The sequence below is a fragment of the Homo sapiens genome, chromosome 7, assembly GCF_000001405.40.
Source record: "Homo sapiens chromosome 7, GRCh38.p14 Primary Assembly".
NCBI lineage: Eukaryota > Metazoa > Chordata > Mammalia > Primates > Hominidae > Homo > Homo sapiens.
The window spans coordinates 27208219-27228588 of NC_000007.14; the positions used below are offsets into that span (position 1 = coordinate 27208219).

Consider the following 20370-nt stretch of genomic DNA (forward strand, 5'->3'; position numbering starts at 1 on the left):
AGTCCAAACGCATGAATTCCTGCTGGTATCAGCTTCGGAGGCAGAGGTCGCGAGCTGAGCTTGGGACAACCCTTCAAGCCTGCTAGCAATTACCTGCTCTCAGCCACTTTTAAAAGGCCATATTTCTTTACATTTCTAGGATCTAATGTGAGGTTATGTCAGGTCATGGGACCCTAGGCTGGTGCAAAGTAATTTGATGTCACCAAGAGCAAGCAGACTCGTTTGTCACCCTGAGGAATAGAAGTCCCTGTGATTTCTGCTGGGAGCAGAGCAGGGTTGCTTGGCTGGGGGTGTGGAATCCAGACAGGGGTCCAGTGTGGGCCTAACCAGGTGAGCTGGGAGGGGACTTTCTGGATCGTGTGTGTGTGTGTGTGTGTGTGTGTGTGTGTGTGTGTGTGTGTATGTTTGTCTGTCTCAGGTTGAGAGGATTAAGGGATCAGCTCTGCTCCAAGCTCACACAGCAGCCCATTGGAACTCAGCATGTGACCTGGACTGATCCAGGCCCTTGGATCCCAGGTTCACTTGTGACATGATCTGGGTCTCAGTTTTTCTGAAGCTAAATCTGGTTAGCCCACCTGCAGTCCTTTCTTCCCCTAGCCCTTACCCACTGCTACTTTAATAGTCTGTAGCTGATTAAATAAAACAACGGAGTCTTCCTACCTGAGGTTTATCCAGCCATTAGGTGATTGGTGGGAGCACAGAAGGAGTCATAGCCCTTGTACCCCTTTGGGGAAACACTTCTGTGAGTGATAAGAGACGGCTAATGTCTCAGTGAAGGGCTTCAAGGCATTTGCTAGAATGGCCTCTTCCACTATTTCCAGTTCTTCCATTTTTTCAAGGGGGGTGGGGGTTGTAGGGGGTTGTGTAACAAAGCCAAAGAACAGGGTCCCTTAAGCCTTCATTTGAGAATCAGGGAGAGTGCGAACCCTGGAGGAGTATGGGTAGGCAACTTGATGGGTAAAATGGAAAAGGAAGAGGCCGCTTCCCAGAGGCCTGGCCGATGCTAGGTCCCAGAGACTTGAGCATGACAGGGTGGGGGGCCTCCTACAGAAGCCCTGGAAACTCTATCGGTAGAGCTGCCTGTGGGGGCTCCACAATGTCCTGGGATTCATACATTGAAATGTGGAGCATGGTTCCTTGGCCTTCTATATCATTCCCAAAAGGAGTATACTGGTGCCACTCTTCCTGACAATTCTAGGATGATCTAATGCCACAACTAATAGACTGAGAGAGCCTGGGCAACATGGAGAAACCCAGTCTCTTTAAAAAACACAAAAATTAGCCAGGTGTGGTAGCATGTGCCTGTGGTCCCAGCTACTGGGGAGGCTGAGGTGGGAGGATTGCTTGATCCCCAGCAAGTTGAGGCTGCAGTGAGCCATGATAGTACCACTATGTTCCAGCCTGGGCGAAAGAGTGAGACCCTGTCTCAAAAAAAAAAAAAAAAAAAAAAAAGACTGAAGGAGAGAACTCAGACTCAGACTCAGCCAAAGTGGTCAGCAAGGAGGCACACCCCTACAAGGCGGACCCCATTTGAAGCAGGCGAAGGCACCCAATAGAGAACCTGCAGTGAGCATCTCAGAGGCACATGGAGAGGCCTGCACAGAATTCTCTATCTTTTGGCCATAAGGTTAGGAGGTGCTGGTGGGGCCAGAGGAGCTCAGATAAGAGCCAGCTCTCTATATGTGGGGCTCATTTCCATGGGGTTGTGAGAGAGGCCAATCCTTCACAGAAATTAGAATCTGGATGCAAGAAGGCAGCCAGGATCAGATCTGGCCAGATGGCCCCACGGCAGAGATGGGGAAAATGTCACCTTCGAATCCTAAGAAGCTAGGCTCCTGTGCTTTGCCAAAGGCCTCGTGGGCAGCAGTCTGTAGCTCCAGCGGTTTTGCATGCCAGCCTCTGGACTCACTTAACTTCTGCAGCAATCTGTTGGTCCCCAGAGCCACTCTGCACCCTCCAGGAGAACCTACATATGGGCGCTCCAGGGATTTGCCCGCATTAGGATCAGGAGCCCCAGGAAGAGTTAGATGGGAATCCAGGCATCCTGGGCCCTGTGCTTTCGGTGGACAGCTAGATCTTTCTTGTCAAGGTGGAAATAGCGTCTCTGCCCTGGGTGGGAACCCAGACCCAGCCCTGCAATCACGCAGGCAATAAAGTAAGCACTCCACTGTCGACGGGGAGGCCAGGGAGAGAGAGGCTTCTCTTTGAGGCCTCCCACCCCCATCCAATCCAGGAGGTTGCAGTCGCTGTGGGCGGCGGCGGAGGATGCTCGCAGGACACCGCTGCAGTTGCGACCTCTTCCCACTAGATGTCTTCCCAGTTAATCGGAACTCAAGGGCGCTGTCTCTGCTCCTCGGGCCGAGACTCGGTTTCCCCTGCCGCTTTTTGAAGTCTAGCATTCCTCTGTGAAAGCTGGCTTTTCCCTTTTTTTCCTATACTCCCCTTCCCGCCCTGCGCTCTAAATCCTGGCTCTGGAAATCCACCAGAATCAAATGCTGGCTCCCTGCGGGCCCGCGTCGGAGCGGCTCACGCCATTGGAATCTTTTTATGACCTTTGATGTGTTTAAATAACATGGCAAGTCTGAGCACACACCTCGGATTAAACTTTAATCGGCTGCAGTCAAGGTCGCCCAGGTGGTAAAAGCGTTTCCTCCGACGTCTCCTGGCAGACGCTGCGGGGTCCAAGGTCTGGGGCAAAGCCCTAGGCCCCCGCCATACCCTCCTGCCTCTGTCAGGCCTGGGTGGGGGCCAGGCCCAGGGCCACCCCATCGAGCTCCAAAGAGGACTAAGGAAATGGGATCGGAGGTAGACACTCAGGGTGGGCTAATGACCTGAGCACAGTTTTTATAGCTGCTAGACAGAATAGTTAAAAATTCCAAGAAGCACTTTCAATTTCCCCTGACTCCAGAAACTGGTTGAAGGTCTAGTCATGGTCAGTGCCTTATTGCCTCCTCCCCATGGCTCTGCTCCCCTAGGGAGAAAGGGGGTGCTGGTAATGATGTTGCGGCCAAGTTAGCTGACTGTTTTTAAGGTCACCAAACCCATTAACTGTGGGCCAGGATCTAGAACCCAGGCTAAAGCAGCCCTTCTGTGTGTCAGGCTAGACAAGGTTGGCTTCAATTTTATCTGGGATGAGCATATCTTTCTGAGCCAGTATACCTGTCATGGAGAATTGTCATGGGCAGTATTTAGGAAAAGCTCCAAGAACAGGGCAGCATATGTAGTGAGAGCTTACCACTGTGCTTTTAAAAAAGAAGGAATGTACAAAAGGGCTAGAAGGACAGACAAGTCATCAGTAACAGTGCTTCCCCTGGGAAGAACTGGTGTTCAGAGGATCTGAGTAGAGAATTTTTTTTCTATAAAATCTTTTTGTAGTGTTTGTGAAGTGCACCAATTGTATGTATTAGCTATTGAGGTTATACTTTTCAGAAAACTGGTTACCCTATGTATCTCATGGCCACATATTCCTTTGGGGAATTTCCTCCACACATCATACCAGCCTTGGATTCAGGGGAGAACACTGAAATAAGTTACCCCAAGGCTTGAATCTTAGTCTTACGGACATCAACTCAGATTTCCATCCCCTGGGAGAGGTTCTCAGGCCTCTCTCTCTGGGCTTACCCCTAACTTGTAAATGAACATGCCAGCCCCAGCCATTCACAAAAGAGAATGCGTTGTCTCAAAACGAATTAAAGCCTGATCTTCAATTTTCCCCCAATCCCTGAGTGCCTAGGGGTTTGCAGAAAAGGCCCACAAATGCTCCTCCAGACCAGAGATTCCCACAGCCCCTTGACATGTATATTTGGTTTGTCAATTCTTGTCTTGAAGACACTATCAAGTGTCTTCAAGGGCCACATACTAGACTGACCTGTTGATCTCTTGACTTAGAGATAACACTATCACTGTCTAAAATTAGTTCTCATAGTGCTTCTTCATGGCCTTCTGGGGGCTGCTAATACTCTTTATCTTGATCTTTGTAGTAGTTACACAAATGTATACATATATAAAAATTCAGTGAACTGGGGGCTTAAGATTTGTATGCTTTGCTATACGTAAGTTATATGGCAATAAAAAAATTTTTAAGTGCTTCCTCCTAACAACCTGTGAGGTTGGTCCCAAGGTTATTACAATCATCTCCATTTTACAGACAAAGCAACTAAGACTCAAGGGAAGCTAGGGTCCCAGGCATCTGTGGAAGAAAATAACCAGCCAGAGACTAACCAGCAGCTTCTTCCTCTGGGTCTTGCTGCTTCAATATCCAGCTTTCTTTTCCAGCAGATTTCTCAGGTGACAGGAGCCGGTTCAGTATAGAGAGGCTCTTTTTAGAGAGATTGTGAGGTAGGAACATGTGGTCTGAGTCTTCAAATTTTTTAGTCTTGGCGTAGGGAGTCAGGGAGGGCACGCGCCCAGAGGGTGTGGGGCCTAGAGGGCCCCACTTGTGTGCCTCTAATGAGGAAGAGGGCCCTCAGGGCTTGGAACATATTTTCTTCTTATTCCAGTCCTCCAAGCCCACACGCACCCGAGGCTCAGGAGACCTCTTCAGGCGACCGCACCCTTCCGCTGAAGTCCCCCACTTCTGCCCCTCCGAGGTGGGGTGGGGGTGTTCTGAAATAACGGTGGCTGCAGTTAGATGGCTGAGGACATAGAAAGCGGTTGTTATTTATTCCAGGCACCATCACAAAAGGCTTCCAAAAATATCGAGCCGAGATATTTTATTGTCCAGCCTGTCTGCAGCCTGTAATTATGCGTTCAAGATGTTTAATGTGTGCAAATGCATTAGCCGCTTTCGCTGGTGAAAACCCTAGCTGGGGGCGGGGTAGAGGCAAGTCTGGAGATAATTATGTCGTACAGTCGCAAACATTATTCCGTTCTTACTGTAAACGGCCCCGGCCACCTTTACGAGAAACCAGGAAACTTCTGAGAGTTACTAGCAGCGTTTACGCGGGCAAACTGAGTTCTTTTTCTTTCTCTCCCGGATTGTTCGAAGTATCTATCGGGCGGCTTCGATGCCAGGTTCAGAGGCGCGCCAGGGAGAGGGCGCCCCGCAGAGGAGCGCAGCGGAGAGGCCTACGCAGGTCCCCGGTGCCCGCGGCCCTCGGAGGCCGGGCCCTGCGTCTTGGCCAGGCACTGGGTGGCAGCTGAGGCTGGTGGCCCGGAGCCCTCGCGGCCGCGGGCAGGCCCCTTCTTGGGCAGGGTCGGGCACTCCCGCTGTCCAGGGCTCTTCGGCACCCTCCTTCCAATCAGGTCGCTCTCCCCTGCTCCCCAGACTCAACTCCTCCGAAGCTGCTCCAGGTTGAAATGTGACCGCTAGGCCGACTCCCTGGGCCCGCGAGCAGTTCTCGAAAGGTGCGGACTGAGCCCTTTCTGGGGTGGGGTGCGGGTTGGTTCTCGCAAGTGTGACCCAGGGTGAACTTGCTATTTCGGGTCCCGGGTGCTGCAGGGCCAGGAGAACAGCTGGGATGGGGGACCCCCGCCTCCACCCTCGGGCCGGCACGTCCGCGCCCTGTCAGGTCCCCCTCCCTCCTCTATGATGGCCAAGGCGTGCGCCAGGGCTATCCGGGAACCTTGTAAGGCCTCGTGCTGGCACCTAACCCCACTCGCGGCACACTTCCTCTATGTAGTCTGCGGCCCCGCCTGCCAAATGAGAGTGACCAGTGCAGGGACAGAATGCCAGGCTGGTGGCCGACCGCCTGAGGGACAAAGGCGAGCATTCACAAGCCAACAGCAGACCCCTGCCCCCCATATTTCCATTTCGCTCAGGCTTTTAGGACAAAATCAACAAGGCCGCAGAGTGGTGCAGGCGCTCACCCCGGGTGACAGCCTGGGGAGCCACTGGTTCCGCGACCCTGGGCATGAAACTCCTCAAGGGCGGCCCTCGAGACGCAGGGGAGAGGATGCTGCCGGCGCCTGCCCGAGGGCTTCTCTGCGGGAAGCGGGCAGGCACCCCACCGGAGTCATTGCCGGGACCCTCAGCGCAACGCGGGCCTGTGTCCTCTCGTTTCTCTTTAGAAAAAGACTGGATTTTAAGACTCGTTTTAGGCCAATGATTTAAAACAAAACCAAACCAAACTACTGGGCGCTCGAGGAGTAGTGTGGGACACATTTAAAAAAAAACTTGTGTGGGATCCAGGGTGCATTTTCTGGGGCCTGGCAGCGCTGCTGCAGCCCCAGGGCATGGAGAACAGGGGGACATGGAAAGATCTGGGAGGATGATGAAACCCCAGGGAGGGAAACGCTCACACAGAGAGGAAAAACAAAACCCACTAGACGTGATTTGTTCCTGCTCCAAATGAATCATCTAAAGAGAATCCCTCTGGGCTACATTTACTGGGGCTTAGGGTCTGGGGCCCTCAGATCCACCAGTGGTGGGGGTAGTTCCCTGAAATTTGCACTCCCAATCTCCCCCGTGAAGGTGCAAGCTGTAGCTACAAAGGGAAAAGGAGAGGAAGAGGCTAGTAGGATTCCTGGGTGGCTGCAGCCCCAAAGTAAACCCCATGCTTTGAGTGCCTCTGCATAACAAAGTTTCCCAGGCCCCCCAGACTTGGAGGGGGGTGGTTAGTTATGCAGCAACTAGACGTTTGGGAACAGCAAGACCCTGGCAGGAGGTGCAGACTAAAGCTTTCAGGTTCCTACCTCTTGTTCTTTCCTACCCCCTGTGTCTGCCTTTCTCTCTGCCACCTTTCCAGAGACTCAGGCCTCCAGGAGCAAGTGGCTTTGCTCTGAGGCCCTACCTGGATGGGCCAGAGAGACTGGGAAGTTTAAGGACAGGTCTCACACTTGGTTCAGATTTCAGACACCTCAGAGGTGGCTATAACTTAAAGCCTGCAAAAATAAACTTTAACCACATTCGAGCGTCCCCCAAGCCTATAGTTTTGAAGGCCTAAAATGTGCGATCTTTTAACTCAGAGGTTGCTGGTTGCCTGAGAGGCTGAGCAGAATTTCCCAAGCAAGAGGGGACAGGGAAAAAGGCCATTGTTTCTGTAGATATCCAGGATCAGTTCAAAATCAGGGCTCACTGAAGAGGGCATGTGTCCTGTGACTGCTCTCTTGAATGTAATTTTTGTCTCTCTCTCTCTGTCTCTCTTGCTCCCATAGAACCGTGCCCTCACAGCAATCCAGTGTTTGATTCTCCCTATAGAAAGTGAATCTGATCAGGGCCTTCTTCACTCTCCTCCTCCTTCTCTTCTGTTCTGCAGCTCATTCAAAAGAGCCCATAGAAACACAGAGAGACCCATGAGGAGTCTCTTGCCACTGGGACTGACTCTGCCTGGGACCCAGAGACCAGAAATGGTGAGTGGTTTTTCTTCAAAGGCTGCTGGGTCCTGAGGCTGGGATTGCCTGCACAGCGAGAGGGCCTCCCTTGCAGCTGCACCCAACCAGGGAAAGGGGTGGAAAGAGTTTTTGAAGGACTCTAGAAGATGGTAAGCAGGGCCACCTCGAAGACCTAGATTTCTCAACTCTACATCTCCTGGAGGAGGGATTCTCTACTGGGAGTGATCAGTGCCAATTCCAGTTTCCAGATTTGGTTTGCCTGCCTAGGAAAATTGGAGCCTCATTTAAATCTTTTCCTAGAAGTCTTGTGCTCATTCTTTGGCTTTCTGTTTTCTATTAGCCAGAGACTCATGTAAGATAATCTGGGTTTCTCCCTCCGACCTCTGAAACATGTAATTTGGGGGAGATACTGTATTTAAAATGCCAGTCCCAGTAATGAGCCCAGCTTAGCAGTGTGAGCTCCCACCCTCCCCTTAATGAACAGAGCTGTCGAGAAATAATTTCACTTTGATCTAGTTTGTGACCTGAGTTTTTGGCTTAAAGAAGACTGGGCAGCTAATTGGATTCTTCAGTTGCCTTTAATCTCCACCTCAACACTTGGAACCTGACCAAGCTGAATTAAAACAAGTCTGATAAACAAGATGTAGCTGGCTCCCAGGTTAACAGTAACAAGAAAATCCCCACCACCACTGTTGGGTTTAATGATCACAGCATGGTTGGCACCTCACAAAAAACATGAGGCTGTAGGCCCGCAGAACCTGCAGCACGGAAGTCTTCAGAATCCTTTCCCCTCCCTCCTAGCCCCCTGGATGTAGCTTAATTAGAAAGAGAAGGAGGGGTAGAGGGAGGTGGGGAAGAAAAACTTACAGTTGGTGAAAGAATCAGGTTGGGGGTTCATCTCAAAGGGAGGCAGGACGTTGAGGAGACTTTGTCCCTGGGAGAGGAAGCAGGCCGAGCCTTTGAGGGCTGGACAGTAAAGATTGCAATTTGAATTTCCAACTGTGTTTCAAGAATGAGGGGATGCAGGAGGGAAATAGGATATGAGGGGCAGGGTTATGCAGCCTGGCGGGCTGGGAATCATGGATTGTATTTAATCTTTTCAGATGCCAGGGTTTTGTGTTCTAGGAGCAAAGCAGAAGGAGGAAGAAGTCTGCTAGACCTCCCCATTCTTAGTTTGGGGCCTGAGAAGGGATTCTCTTGGACTCCCCTCTGGATGCTCCTGTCTGCTGCCTGCCTAAGTGGCTGGAGGAGTTCTGAGGGAATGCTTTCTCCAAGGCAGCAGGGGTTTGGTCTAGGCTAGGATTTCTCAAACCTCCACAATATTGATGCTTTGGGCTGGATGATTAATTCCTTGTCGTGGAGGCTGTCCTGTGCGTTGTAAGATGTTTACCAGTATCTTTGGCCTCTACTTACAGATGTCAGTAGTGCCTACCCCAGTTGTGACACCCAGAAAAGTCTCCAGACACTGCCAAATGTCCCCTGGGGGGCAAAAATTGCCCCCACTTAAGAACCACCAGTGTAGACCTCTGTGAGGCAGGCATTTCTGGGAAAAAAGTGTAGTGCTTTGCTTGAAATGATCTTTGTATAGTTTCAGAGAGCTAGGGGAGCAGGGCGGGGTACTCCCGCTCCTTCTTTGAACCTCTCCAGCAGGGCAGATCATGAATTCCTTCCCAGGGCTGTCTTGATCTCCTTACTGTAGGTGCTACACCTTCATTAAGGCTTTGAGCAAGGACATAGCTGCCAGGGCATATAATCCTAATCTTTAGACACACTGAATCCAGGATAAGTGTGTGTGTGTGTGTGGGGAAGGTGGTGGGTGGGTAGGTGTATATATGGGTCTGTATAAGATAAATGCTAGGCAAAAGAGATCCAGGCCTCACCTTTTCCTGCAGCTTTGAAAGCTCTTTCTTTGGCATACTTGGCCTTGAAGTGGGAAACAGCTGGGTTTTCATAAAATGGTTGTTGAGGTTATCAGGGAATGGAAAGCCTATTACACATATTGAGGTGAGAGGTAGTGTCTAGGATGCTGTTACCAGATTCTTATGCAGTAGGTGGTCTTACAGCTCCTACCCATCTCTTCCCTCTAGCTCTGACTCTCAGCAAGCTCTTCTCACACAGGCTTTCTGGAAACTGTTAAGATCCTAGAAAGTAGGAGCTTGACATAATTTATTGAACACTTGGTATTACTATTATAATGCTGATTGAAAATATTTAAAAAAATAGGAGGCTGGGCACGGTGGCTCACACCTGCAATCCCAGTACTTTGGGAGGCAGAGGCAGGTGGATCTCAATGTCAGGAGTTTGAGACCAGCCTGGCCAATATGGTGAAACCCCGTCCCTACTAAAAATACAAAAATTAGCTGGGCATGGTGGCGGGTGCCTGTAGTCCCAGCTACTCGGGAGGCTGAGGCAGGAGAATTGTTTGAACCCAGGAGGCAGAGGTTGCAGTGAGCCGAGATTGCACCACTGCACTCCAGCCTGGGGGACAGAGTGAGACTCCATCTCAAAAAAAAAAAAAAAAAAAGAATTTTATCACAATCCAGACATCTCAACCAGATCCACCCATCCCTTTTCTTTCTCTCTTCTTTCTTTCTCTCTTCTTTCTTTTTCTCTTTCTTTCTCTCTTTCTCTCTTTCTCTTTCTCTTTTTCTTTCTTTCTTTCTCTCTCTTTTTCTTTCTTTCTTTCCCTCCTTCCCTCCCTCCCTCCTTACCTACCTCCCTTCTTCCCTCCCTCCCTCCCATCCTCCCTTTGTTTCTTCCTTTCATTTTCTTTCCAGAATGTGTTCACATAGAACACAAATGAAGGATGGTAAAGATTAAGAGAAACTGATTAACTGACAAAGACAATTCTATCAAGTTTGCATTGCATTAATAGCAATAACAATAGGGTTAAGTTATGTGACCCCTATATATATTTTTCACATCTAGAGTGGGTTATAGTCACTTAGGGCTAGGCATATTTAGCTGTCAGCATTGCCAAATGAATTAAGCTTTAGGTATTTGACTAAAATCACTGGTCGAATGCTTACAGAGTGGTCATCACTTTACAAATATTAACTCATGTAATCTGTTGAACACCTCTAGGAACTATTATAATCATCTTCATCTCACAGATGGTGAAACAGAGGCCTAGAAAGCTTAAGTAACTTGCCCAAGGTCATCCAGCTACTAAGGGACAACACTAGGATTGGACTGAGGCATTGGATTTAGGGTCCATATTTTCTATTTTCTTTCTTTCTTTCCTTTTTTTTTTTTTTCTTTCTCAATACAGAGTTTCACTCTTGTTGCCTAGGCTGGAGTGCAATGGTGCGATCTTGGCTCACTGCAACCTCCGCCTCCCGGATTCAAGCAATTCTCCTGCCTCAGCCTCCCGAGTAGCTGGGATTACAGGCATGCGACACCATGCCTGGCTAATTTTTGTATTTTTAGTAGAGACAGGGTTTCTCCATGTTGGTCAGGCTGGCCTCGAACTTCCGACCTCAGGTGATCTGCCCACCTCGGCCTCCCAAAGTGCTGGGATTACAGGCGTGAGCCACCTCACCCAGCTGGGTCCATATTTTCAATGACTAATTTCTGCTGCCAATTGTTAATATGCTGGGTAGGGACAGTGGCCCAGGGGACAGCTGTTGGGGAGGTGGGCATCTCTAAGGATGTAGCCACTGCTCTGGAAGCCTCATTCTGAGCTTTGGGGCCGGATTCCTTGTCCACAGTGTGTCTATTAATATAAGCCTTTCTGATAATTGAAAGTAAGTTATGGGAAATGTAATATATATCCCCGGTATTTACTGCCTCGGGAACAAGGGAGACATAATGAAGGAGGGAAGTTTGTAATTGCAGAAAAACATCAGTTCTAGGAACAGAAATCAGTGGCAGCCAGAGACGTTCTCCCCAGGTTTCCGGCCCTGCTGGTGGCCCCTCCACCAGGCTCCATACAGGCAGGAACCCCCAGAAGAGGAAAGGGGCCTGTAATAGGAGTCATCAACCTGTCACCACGGCTAGGGTGAATATGGCCTCTGAGTTGGGGGAAGGGGGGAGGTTTACTCTTTAGCACCACCAGCTGCAGGGATGGGGAGGGGCTGTGGAGGGTGGGGTGGGGAGGGGAGGCTGGAGGTGGAGCTGGCCTTCTCTATCCACAGCCCACAGCCTCCTCAGAACAGACACTGGGCTAGTAACGTGCGATGCTGCGGTCTAGGTCCCTGGCCCCACTTGGCACTAAGGTGAGCATGGTGGTCCTTACCCTCAGGCAGCCTTCACATCTATAAGAATGTGCATACATGCGTGGGTTTGCGTGTGAAGGAAACATGGAGGGTGACACAGCTACATAAATGATTGCACCAAAGGCTGAGATAAGAACCTAGGGATGGAGCAGTATGAACCGGGTGCCAAGTGGTGTGGGGTGTCAGGGTCTGGCTGAGGGTGGGCAGCAAGGAGGCTGAGATAATGACCTGGACAGGTGGAGAGGGGCCGTCCCAGGTGGAGATGCAAGGAGGATGCTGGGAACAAACTCTGGCTCTTGGGCTAGAGGGGAAGGGAGGGTAAAGGAGGCATTGTCTGGCACCTACCAGGTGCTGTGCTTTGCAGGGATGATCTCATCGAACCCTCACAATATCCCCATGTGGTAGGTACTTGTGTTACCCAAATTCTACAGATGAGGAAACAGGCAGAGAGGGTCAGTGACTTGGGCAAGGTCCCGTGGCTGGGTGGCAGAGAGCCTCTGTGAGTTGCTCTGAACCGGTCCATAGGAGGAAGCCCAGCACCTGCAGTGAAGCCCTGGTAAAGGGGAAACTTAGTTGGGAGGCTTTGATTTTGAATTGAGGCCTTGCTTGCTTTAAGAAGGTTCTCATAAGGAAAAGCTGCATGCGTCTTACATTTCTGTATTTCCCCCGTGCCACTGCCAGCCCCATCTTATAAGTTATCCGCGAGTGATGAGAAGTCCCCCCTCCTCCCCGGGGTGAGTGAGAGGGCACCATCCCTGGGGCAAGGGCCCCCAGGCGCAGGATGCACGAACCGAGGGACACACCGCCGCCAGACTGACCTGGTGTGGCGGTCGGGCGGGGCCGGGCCAGGCCGCGACCGCGAGAAACCACAGCCCCACGGAGGAGGCCGGGCCGCGGGGCTGGCGGGGACCCTGCAGGCCGGGCCGAGGTGCGGTGAGGCCTCCTCCCGACCTGGCCGCGTCCTCAGAGTTCGCTCGGGGCTTCGTGTTTGCAGAGCAGCCTCCCGCCTGCCCGGCTTGCCCGGGGATGTGGGTGGACCCGCCCCGCGCGGCCGCGGCCCAGTGCAAACCGTGATCCACCCTCTTCCGCTCGGTGGGAGGAACCCGGGGCTTTGCGCCCCTAACCAGCAGCGTGACCCTCGCAGTCAGGGAACTTCTCATCTGTGAAGAAAGCTTAAGAATGACACCCCTGACAGGAGCATACGTGCTTGCCTGCCCATAGGGGACAGGAACAAACGAGATCATGTATTCCATGAACACGCTTTTAATGCCCACCTACTATATGACAGGTGCTGTGCTAGGCACTTCTGTATTCATTCTAAAATATTAATTTTGCATCGTGTCCTTTTGGTATACTTTATTGAAATACTATGTACAAAAAGTGCAAAAGTCATAAGATCATCTAACACCAACAAATATTTATTTTCATTCAACAAATAAATGATTCTGTAAAACTTATTGGCAATGTGTGAGAGTATTGCACACTGCAATAAAGTGTTGTCAGTAAGAGGCCTCTTCTCTACATTACCTGCTGTTGATCTGGGATGAATTTACCTGAGTACTTGCTTCTTCTGGGACTGGAGATGGGTTTTCGGCTCCATTCTGTCACTAAACACCCTGGCTACCTCCTGTGATCTCTCTGGAACTCCTCAGTGGAATGAGGCGGCTGGCCTTCACACTAAGGACCCTACTTCCTGTGACTGATGAGGGTGGCTTGGGTGTATTTCAGAAATAATAGGACACAATTTGAGTGTGGCTTCTTGTATTTATGATTACTAACACAAATGTTATCCACACATTCATGATAATACACATTTGCAGGTGAATGTCTTTGGCAGAGCTGCTGGAAGAAATGTGAGGCCTGTGACTCATCATGAAATCCCAAGAAGGTTTCACTACTTTACCAACTGAGAAGTTCTCATAGGTGGCTTTAGAGAAGAGCGTTTCTTCTTGTGCAAATAGAATCCTTCTACTGAGCAGTCTTCTAAAGCAGTCATCTCAAAAATGAAGATAATAACACTACTCATTTTATATTTTATGCAGAAAGCTTTTAGAACAGTGCCTGGGCACACACTGAGAGTTTAATAAAAGTTAGCCACAATTATTATTCACTCTTTGACACTCCCCCAAAAGCTTATTTGTCTCCATTCTTCCCTCTTTAAGAAAGGAGGTAGTAGGTTGGAAGGTCTAGCCTAATTGTTATAAGGTGCTGCCATGAATCCCAACCTAAAAATTAACAGTAGGAGGCATAGATCCCTAAGTAGTTTTCTCCCTACACATTCATCCCTTGTGAATACAGGATGATTGGGTAAAGGTCCAACCTCCCTTCCTGGGCTCCCTGGCCTGGAGAGGCACCAGGGCACTCCCTAAGGCAACCTCATCAGAAATCAGAATCCTCATCAGCAGACCTAAGTCCTTCAGGCCACCAGTGCCTTCCCAAGGGGGTTAAAAGTTCTCTAACAAGGGCAGTGTCAGGTATGGAGAAAATGATGGAGTAAGAATTCCTTCCATATGAGTGGAGATTTACAGTTGACAAAGCACTGGCCATTTCTCCATGTTTAGTGGGGTTGATAGGAAGACTTCCCTGGGTTTTGTGTGTTTGTTTTCGTGATGATGGAAGGGTACTGAGTGCAAAGAGCCTTTGGTGTTTTGAATGCAAGGTGACTCTGTCTTTGGCTCTGGAGTTACAGACACCTAGATTTGAGCCACCACTCTGCCATCTATTTGCTTTGTGACCTTCGGCAAGTCTGTTTATATTTTTCTTAACTTTAGCTTCCTCAACTCGAAAATGGATGTAACAATATCACCTAGTTAGCCCATAAGGCTGTTGTGCAGTTTAATTTCTATGATGCAAATAAAGCACTTAGCTCAGTGCCTAAAGTAATGTAGATGCAATACTAGTTAGCTTTCAATATATATTATCAATATTCTTATATGATTCTCTTAGACATGGCAGAAAAAATTCATTCTGATTTTATAGGTGATAAAACCGTATGGAACTACTGATATTTACTATAGCATGGATGAACCTCAAAAATTGTGCTAAGTGAAAGAAGCCAGACCCAACAGACTACCTGTTGTGTGATTATGTCTGTCTAAAATGCCCAGAAAAGGTAAACTTATTAAGATAGAACATTAGCGGTTGCCTCAAGCTGGACGTGGAAAGGGGAATTAACTTAAAAAAAAAACGAGGGATCTCATGGGTTGAGAAGATGAAAATGTTCTGAAATGGATTTATCGTGATGGTTGTACCACTTGGTAAAGCTACTACTAAAAATCATTGTTTTGTACACCTGAAGTGGGTAAATGTTATGATGCATAACATATACATCAATAAAGTTGTTTTAAAAACCCAAAATATCACAGGAGAAGAGGGGGAATAGAATCTAGGTTTCCTATTAGGTGTTCTTTAGACTCTGCTACCTCCCATTGGGTAGGAGAGAGAAGGCAAACAGCAGGGGAGGAGCTATGGTTAGAATCTCCGTTAAATAAGAGAATGGAACTAAGACAATTCTGAGAATGTGGAGGTGGTAGTTTCTTAAAGAGGGAAGAATGGAGAGAAATAAGCTTTTGGGGGAGTGTAAAAGAGTGAATAATAATTGTGGCTAACTTTTGTTAAACTCTCAGTGTGTGCCCAGGCACTGTTCTAAAAGCTTTCTGCATAAAATATAAAATGAGTAGTGTCATTATCTTCATTTTTGAGATGATGAACTTGAAGCATAGAGAATGTAAATACCTTGACCACAGTCATAAGCTAATATATGGCAGGGTCAGGATTTGAACCCAAGTAGCTTGTTCCAAAGCACCTGCATTTTACCCTGATGCTATTAATACATATAAAAAGAAGGAGAGAAATGTCAGGTTTCTGGGCAAAAATCTGGAGTTACATTGTGTGGATGCGTGAGCCTGGAACATTCTGAGACTTTGCTTTAAAAATGTGATGTTGTTTTATATATAAATATGAACCACACCAGATATCTTGCTGGGGGGGTGGATTTGCTCCACCATCTATTGCATGGATAATATGCAGCATGGATATCATTTTTGTATATGAATATCTTAAAATGCCAGACAATCCCTTCACTTCTGTGTTTGAAGTGTGGCTATGCTCATTTCCCAGAGTATGAACTGAGCTCACGTTTTGGGAACAACATTCAGACTGATGTAAACAATCTCAGAATTACTTGGACCATGTTGCCAAGCTCCATTTCCCCTCCCCCAGTCTCATTCCGGGTGCCTCCTTCATCCCTGTGCCCTTTGCCTCATTCCTGTCCCTCTTTACCCTTCCAATGCTCTTTTCTCCATGAAATAGGGAGTCTTTCTGGATTGAATAGAAAAATTATGCCTTAAAGATCCATTCTTTTGGTTTGCTGCATTGAGGAAGAATATGTGTGCAGCTAGAAGAAAAAACAGGTCATATCTATACAGAACTTGAAAAGTAAGGATTAAAAATTTCAATGCTTCCAAGGCCCAAAAAATATTGCACTATTTTTTCATTTAAATTATATGTATAGATTAAGTGAAAATAATATTCCCATTTCTTTCATTCTTTTGGTTTAAGTGATTTAAAACTATTTGCATGTATAAAACAGGCAACTTGTAAATTTAAGTGAAAGGAATGCAGATTTCTTGGATGCTGTACAGGGAGGGAGAGGTTGAAAAGAAAATTAACATAGTAATGAAAAGATTAGAGAAAAGTGGTCAAGTGATCACAATCTGGTGGCCTTGGGATGGGGAAGAGGTATAATTTTTAAAAACCTTTATTGTTTTGTGTGGGAGGAAATACACAACTAATGCATGTTCATTTAAAAAGATAATCAGTTTTTGAAGAAATAGTGTGGCAAGTTAATGCCCCATATGCCCCCATAATCCCAAAGTAACAGTTGAATGTATATTCCTCCATATCTATGTGCATATAAAATATACATATATTTCCTATATAACTATCCATGAAATTAAGTCACTAATCATATCTGATTGCTTGCAGACATTTGCTTACAATTTCTTTCTCCATTTTTACAAATGTGGAATCATATTACACAAACTATTCTTTTTGCAATTTATCCTTTTTCATTTAAAGTAAGCTTAGACCTGTTTGCCTGTGAGCACACAGATCTCGTCTGAATATAGAGTATTCCTTTATATGAATGTTCATCATTTTATTTAACCATCATTTTATTTATAAATTGATGACTGTCAGCTATTTCCACTTTTTCCTTATCACTAAAATAATTTAGTGAATATTCTTGAATGCATTCATTCGGGAATATTTACTAGATTATTTTAGTGATAATGAAAACTATGCAAATTTTCAGAAGTGACATTTCAGGGACAAACCGAATAATAACTGTAAATTCATAAATGTCAAAATTGCCTTCAAAAAGGTTTTGCCGTTTTGTTTTTTGTTTGTTTTAACGTTCCACCAATGGTTTTCGGGTGACGGTGTCCTTGCACGATGTAGTCCGTCTTCAAAGTTCTTTTACACAACGTGAATTATATTGAAATTGGGCTACTTCATAGAGCTTCGCCTCAGTGGAGGACAGCCTGGAATAGGTGAGGGGGTCTCGAAAGGAATACCAGGCCGGGGAGTACTGGCAAGTGTCGGAGGGGAAGGGCAGGTCGGGGAGAGGATCCCCAGGGGCTGGGTGTCTGCAGGGCTCCCCGTAACTCAGAGGGGCCGGCGGCCGCCGCCCGAAGCCTGAGCTTTTCTCAGCAGATGGAGAATTCATTTTTAACCCCCAGGAAGGAATGGGCTGAGACATCAGACCACCGCTCCTAGAGGGTCAAATTTCCTCCCCATAAATCCAAAACATTCTCTTTAGGGAGTTCCCTCCGTGGCGCGCAAACCCGGGAAGCCGCGCGCCCTGGGGTTTCTTGGCGGGCCGTGCGCGCAGCCTGAACCGCCAAAGTCGCGTCATCCCGCATTTGCCTGCACCCAGGAGTTTGCAACCCGCAGAGCCCGCAGAGGCCACCGCCAAGAGTGCGCGCCTTGGCGCCCCGTCGGCCTCTACTTCCTCGGATCTGAGCCAGCGCCGCTAATCCGCAGGCTGCAGCAGAACCTGTCGCCAGCTTGGAGAGTCCCTCGCGCTGCCCTGGCTTCCCGGTCCGCGGGCGACTCGCGCTGCTCCCGGGTTTGTCGGGACCCCAGGAGGGCGCTCAAGCCTGTCGGCCCCTACTTGTGTGTAGAGAATAGGCCCGGGTACACCACCTCAGAAATGCAGAGGAAGCCGGGGACACTGAAGCCCGGGTGGTTGCAGTGAGGCTGAGGATCTCAGATGGGTGACCCCCAGCTCTGGCCAGTATCTGAGGCCACTGCACGTGGGGGACACTGCCCCCCAGGTTCCCACCTAGTTGGTCTCTTCCTTGGGTCAGTGGACTGCAGATGACTCCAATTGGCCTAGTGGGCCATTTCTGTCCTAGAGTCATTTTTTGGCTGATACAGAATTTTATAATAATTCAAATTAGTTGCCAACATGTAGAAACACTTGAAAATGAAATATCTAACAATGATATCAGCTGGAGCTGAATTCTGTGACTCCAGTCTTCTCAATTCCCAAATGTGACCATGGCCATTTCTCTCATTTCTGTTACATTTCTGTTACCAGCCCACTCCTGTAGGCATTGATGTGTGTCCCCTGTTGGAGTCATAGAATACCATGGTGGGGGCATGAAAATAGAATATATTTTCATATATTTCAGAAAAATAGACCCTTTAGCTCCCACTGATATTTGATGCTGTGAATTGGTCAAGGTTACCCAGGGTGTGGCAGAGTTGAGATTAGCACTTTATTCACTGATGAGAGCCCAGAGGAGGGAAGAGACTTCTGCAGGACCACCCAGCCAGAGAGCGGCAGGGGCACGCCTAGAGCCCACGTTTCTGACCATTAGCCCCTTCTCCTGACCGCACAGGGGCCCCAGTAAAACACAGCCTATGACCAAAGAGCCCTTGCTTGGGCTCTCAGGCTTTGACCCAACACCTAGTCATTGGTCAGACCAACTGAGCTTCCACTGCCTCTGTCTGTAGCTATAGAATGGAGGGAGTCCATGAGGGCTGGCTTGTGTCTTGCTGTCAGCTTCCAGGTTCTGGGTTCTTGCCTAAGAAACAACTGCATCGAACTGTGGGCAGATATTCCTTATCTTCTTGCATAGTCTAAAAATACACCTGGCCATACTATAGCAATTGTATTTGAACTTACTGATCCAATCCCATTGGAAATCAGTGCATCTAGCTATTAGGGGAATGTTTCCCAAACCTTCATACTTGCCACCTCCAGGGTAAAGGGAGACTGGAAAAGAAACAGCCATGTCACTTGCCAGCCTTGTCACAGTTCTGAGTTCTGTCCTACATTTTTCATTTGGGAGCCAGAAAGAAGTGGCTAGACTATCAGAAGGCCCATAGGGGTGGAAACTCCCTATCTTAAAACCAGTACAGGGAAACACAGTGAAGGGAAAATGAATGGCTGGAGATAACAGCCAGTGTGGGGAAAAGAAGTACGTCTGAAATGGCTTCTTATTTTACTTGGGAGCATTCCCTACCCAAGACTAAAGCATGCAAAGCAGGCCAGAGACTTTGATGTTTCTCCTTAAGGAAATGAAAGTTTGAGGCATTTATGTTAACATATGGAATATCTATCTGTGACTGCATTAGCTCTTCAGACGTATCTTCTTACCTCCCTAGGAGTAAGTGAACAGCTTACAAAAGCTGCAGTTTCTGTGGGAGAAACTCAATTTGGATCTGAAATCAAGAAGGCTTAACAACACCCACTCTGTATGAAATTACCACCCCATTTTAATAAAGTCCAAGATGTTTAATAGCTCACTTAAGGTCTTACAGCACATTGGGAGCAGAAATAGAAGAGTTAACTGTTTTTCTCATTTGGTCTCCTGAGAAAGGCTTGTTCATTTTAATTCTATCTCCAGAAAAACGTTTTATTTGTCCTCTTCACAATCCCTCCTTAATATCTCACTTAGGTGTTATCACTGTGCAGGTAAAATAATTTATTTTTAAAGTGGCATGTTGTACACATAAAAATAATTGAGTCTGCCGGCCTGGAAAAAGGTTCAGCTGCCTGCCTGGAAAAAGGTTTACTGTAGCCTAAATTTCTATGAAGATGTATAATTTGTCAGTGAAAAATATATATGAACACACATGCATACCCCTTTATTACCACTCAGAAAGACTTGGGAAACTTACATTTTCTTCTTCTCTCTCTCTCATTTGGAAAACATGGCTCCTTCATTTCCCATTCTCTTGTAGACCTTCGGTCCTTGTGACCCTGTTCTCTTTACCTTTATGTTTGCAAGGCAGAGTACGGCACAGGCATACCATATTCTCATCACCTATAGGCCAAGAACTTGGTCTCAGATAATAGTGCTAGTAAGGAATAGCTCTGGCTTCCAGTCTTAGAAAACTTAAAATAACCAGGGCTTAAACAGGATAAAAGTTTACAGTTTTCCACCTAAAAGCCTGGATAGGGGCTCCAGGGCTGGTGTGATGCTTCATGATGTCAGAGATCTGAGCTGCTACTATCTTGTTGCTCTACCTTATCCAGGCCCAGGATGTCAGTAGACAAGCTCCAGGCGGCAGAATGGAGGGATAAAGAAAACCACTGGCCGGATGCGGTAGCTCAGGCCTATAATCCCAGCACTTTGGGAGGCTGAGGTGGGTGGATTACCTGAGGTCAGGAGTTCGAGACCAGTCTGGCCAACATGGCGAAACCCCATCTGTACTAAAACTACAAAAATTAGCTGGATGTGACATGCACCTATAGTCACAGCTACTCAGGAGGCTAAGGCAGGAGAATCACTTGAACTGGGGAGGTGGATGTTGCAGTGGGCCAAGATTGCGCCACTGCACTCCAGCCTGGGTGACAGAGTGAGAC

The 20370-nt window shown here is 47.9% G+C and overlaps 6 annotated features.

Moving 5' to 3' along the window:
* Positions 2129-2629: an enhancer, noted in NCBI's record as "H3K4me1 hESC enhancer chr7:27249966-27250466 (GRCh37/hg19 assembly coordinates)". NCBI's record gives its function as "activates a minimal SCP1, AML or CMV promoter by ChIP-STARR-seq in primed H9 embryonic stem cells {active_cell/tissue: H9 hESC(primed)}" and the evidence as "EXISTENCE:reporter gene assay evidence [ECO:0000049][PMID:30033119]".
* Positions 2630-3130: an enhancer, noted in NCBI's record as "H3K4me1 hESC enhancer chr7:27250467-27250967 (GRCh37/hg19 assembly coordinates)". NCBI's record gives its function as "activates a minimal SCP1, AML or CMV promoter by ChIP-STARR-seq in primed H9 embryonic stem cells {active_cell/tissue: H9 hESC(primed)}" and the evidence as "EXISTENCE:reporter gene assay evidence [ECO:0000049][PMID:30033119]".
* Positions 4686-5435: an enhancer, noted in NCBI's record as "H3K27ac-H3K4me1 hESC enhancer chr7:27252523-27253272 (GRCh37/hg19 assembly coordinates)". NCBI's record gives its function as "activates a minimal SCP1, AML or CMV promoter by ChIP-STARR-seq in naive H9 embryonic stem cells {active_cell/tissue: H9 hESC(naive)}" and the evidence as "EXISTENCE:reporter gene assay evidence [ECO:0000049][PMID:30033119]".
* Positions 5436-6184: an enhancer, noted in NCBI's record as "H3K27ac-H3K4me1 hESC enhancer chr7:27253273-27254021 (GRCh37/hg19 assembly coordinates)". NCBI's record gives its function as "activates a minimal SCP1, AML or CMV promoter by ChIP-STARR-seq in naive H9 embryonic stem cells {active_cell/tissue: H9 hESC(naive)}" and the evidence as "EXISTENCE:reporter gene assay evidence [ECO:0000049][PMID:30033119]".
* Positions 11892-12453: an enhancer, noted in NCBI's record as "H3K27ac-H3K4me1 hESC enhancer chr7:27259729-27260290 (GRCh37/hg19 assembly coordinates)". NCBI's record gives its function as "activates a minimal SCP1, AML or CMV promoter by ChIP-STARR-seq in naive H9 embryonic stem cells {active_cell/tissue: H9 hESC(naive)}" and the evidence as "EXISTENCE:reporter gene assay evidence [ECO:0000049][PMID:30033119]".
* Positions 16660-17343: an enhancer, noted in NCBI's record as "H3K4me1 hESC enhancer chr7:27264497-27265180 (GRCh37/hg19 assembly coordinates)". NCBI's record gives its function as "activates a minimal SCP1, AML or CMV promoter by ChIP-STARR-seq in naive and primed H9 embryonic stem cells {active_cell/tissue: H9 hESC(naive and primed)}" and the evidence as "EXISTENCE:reporter gene assay evidence [ECO:0000049][PMID:30033119]".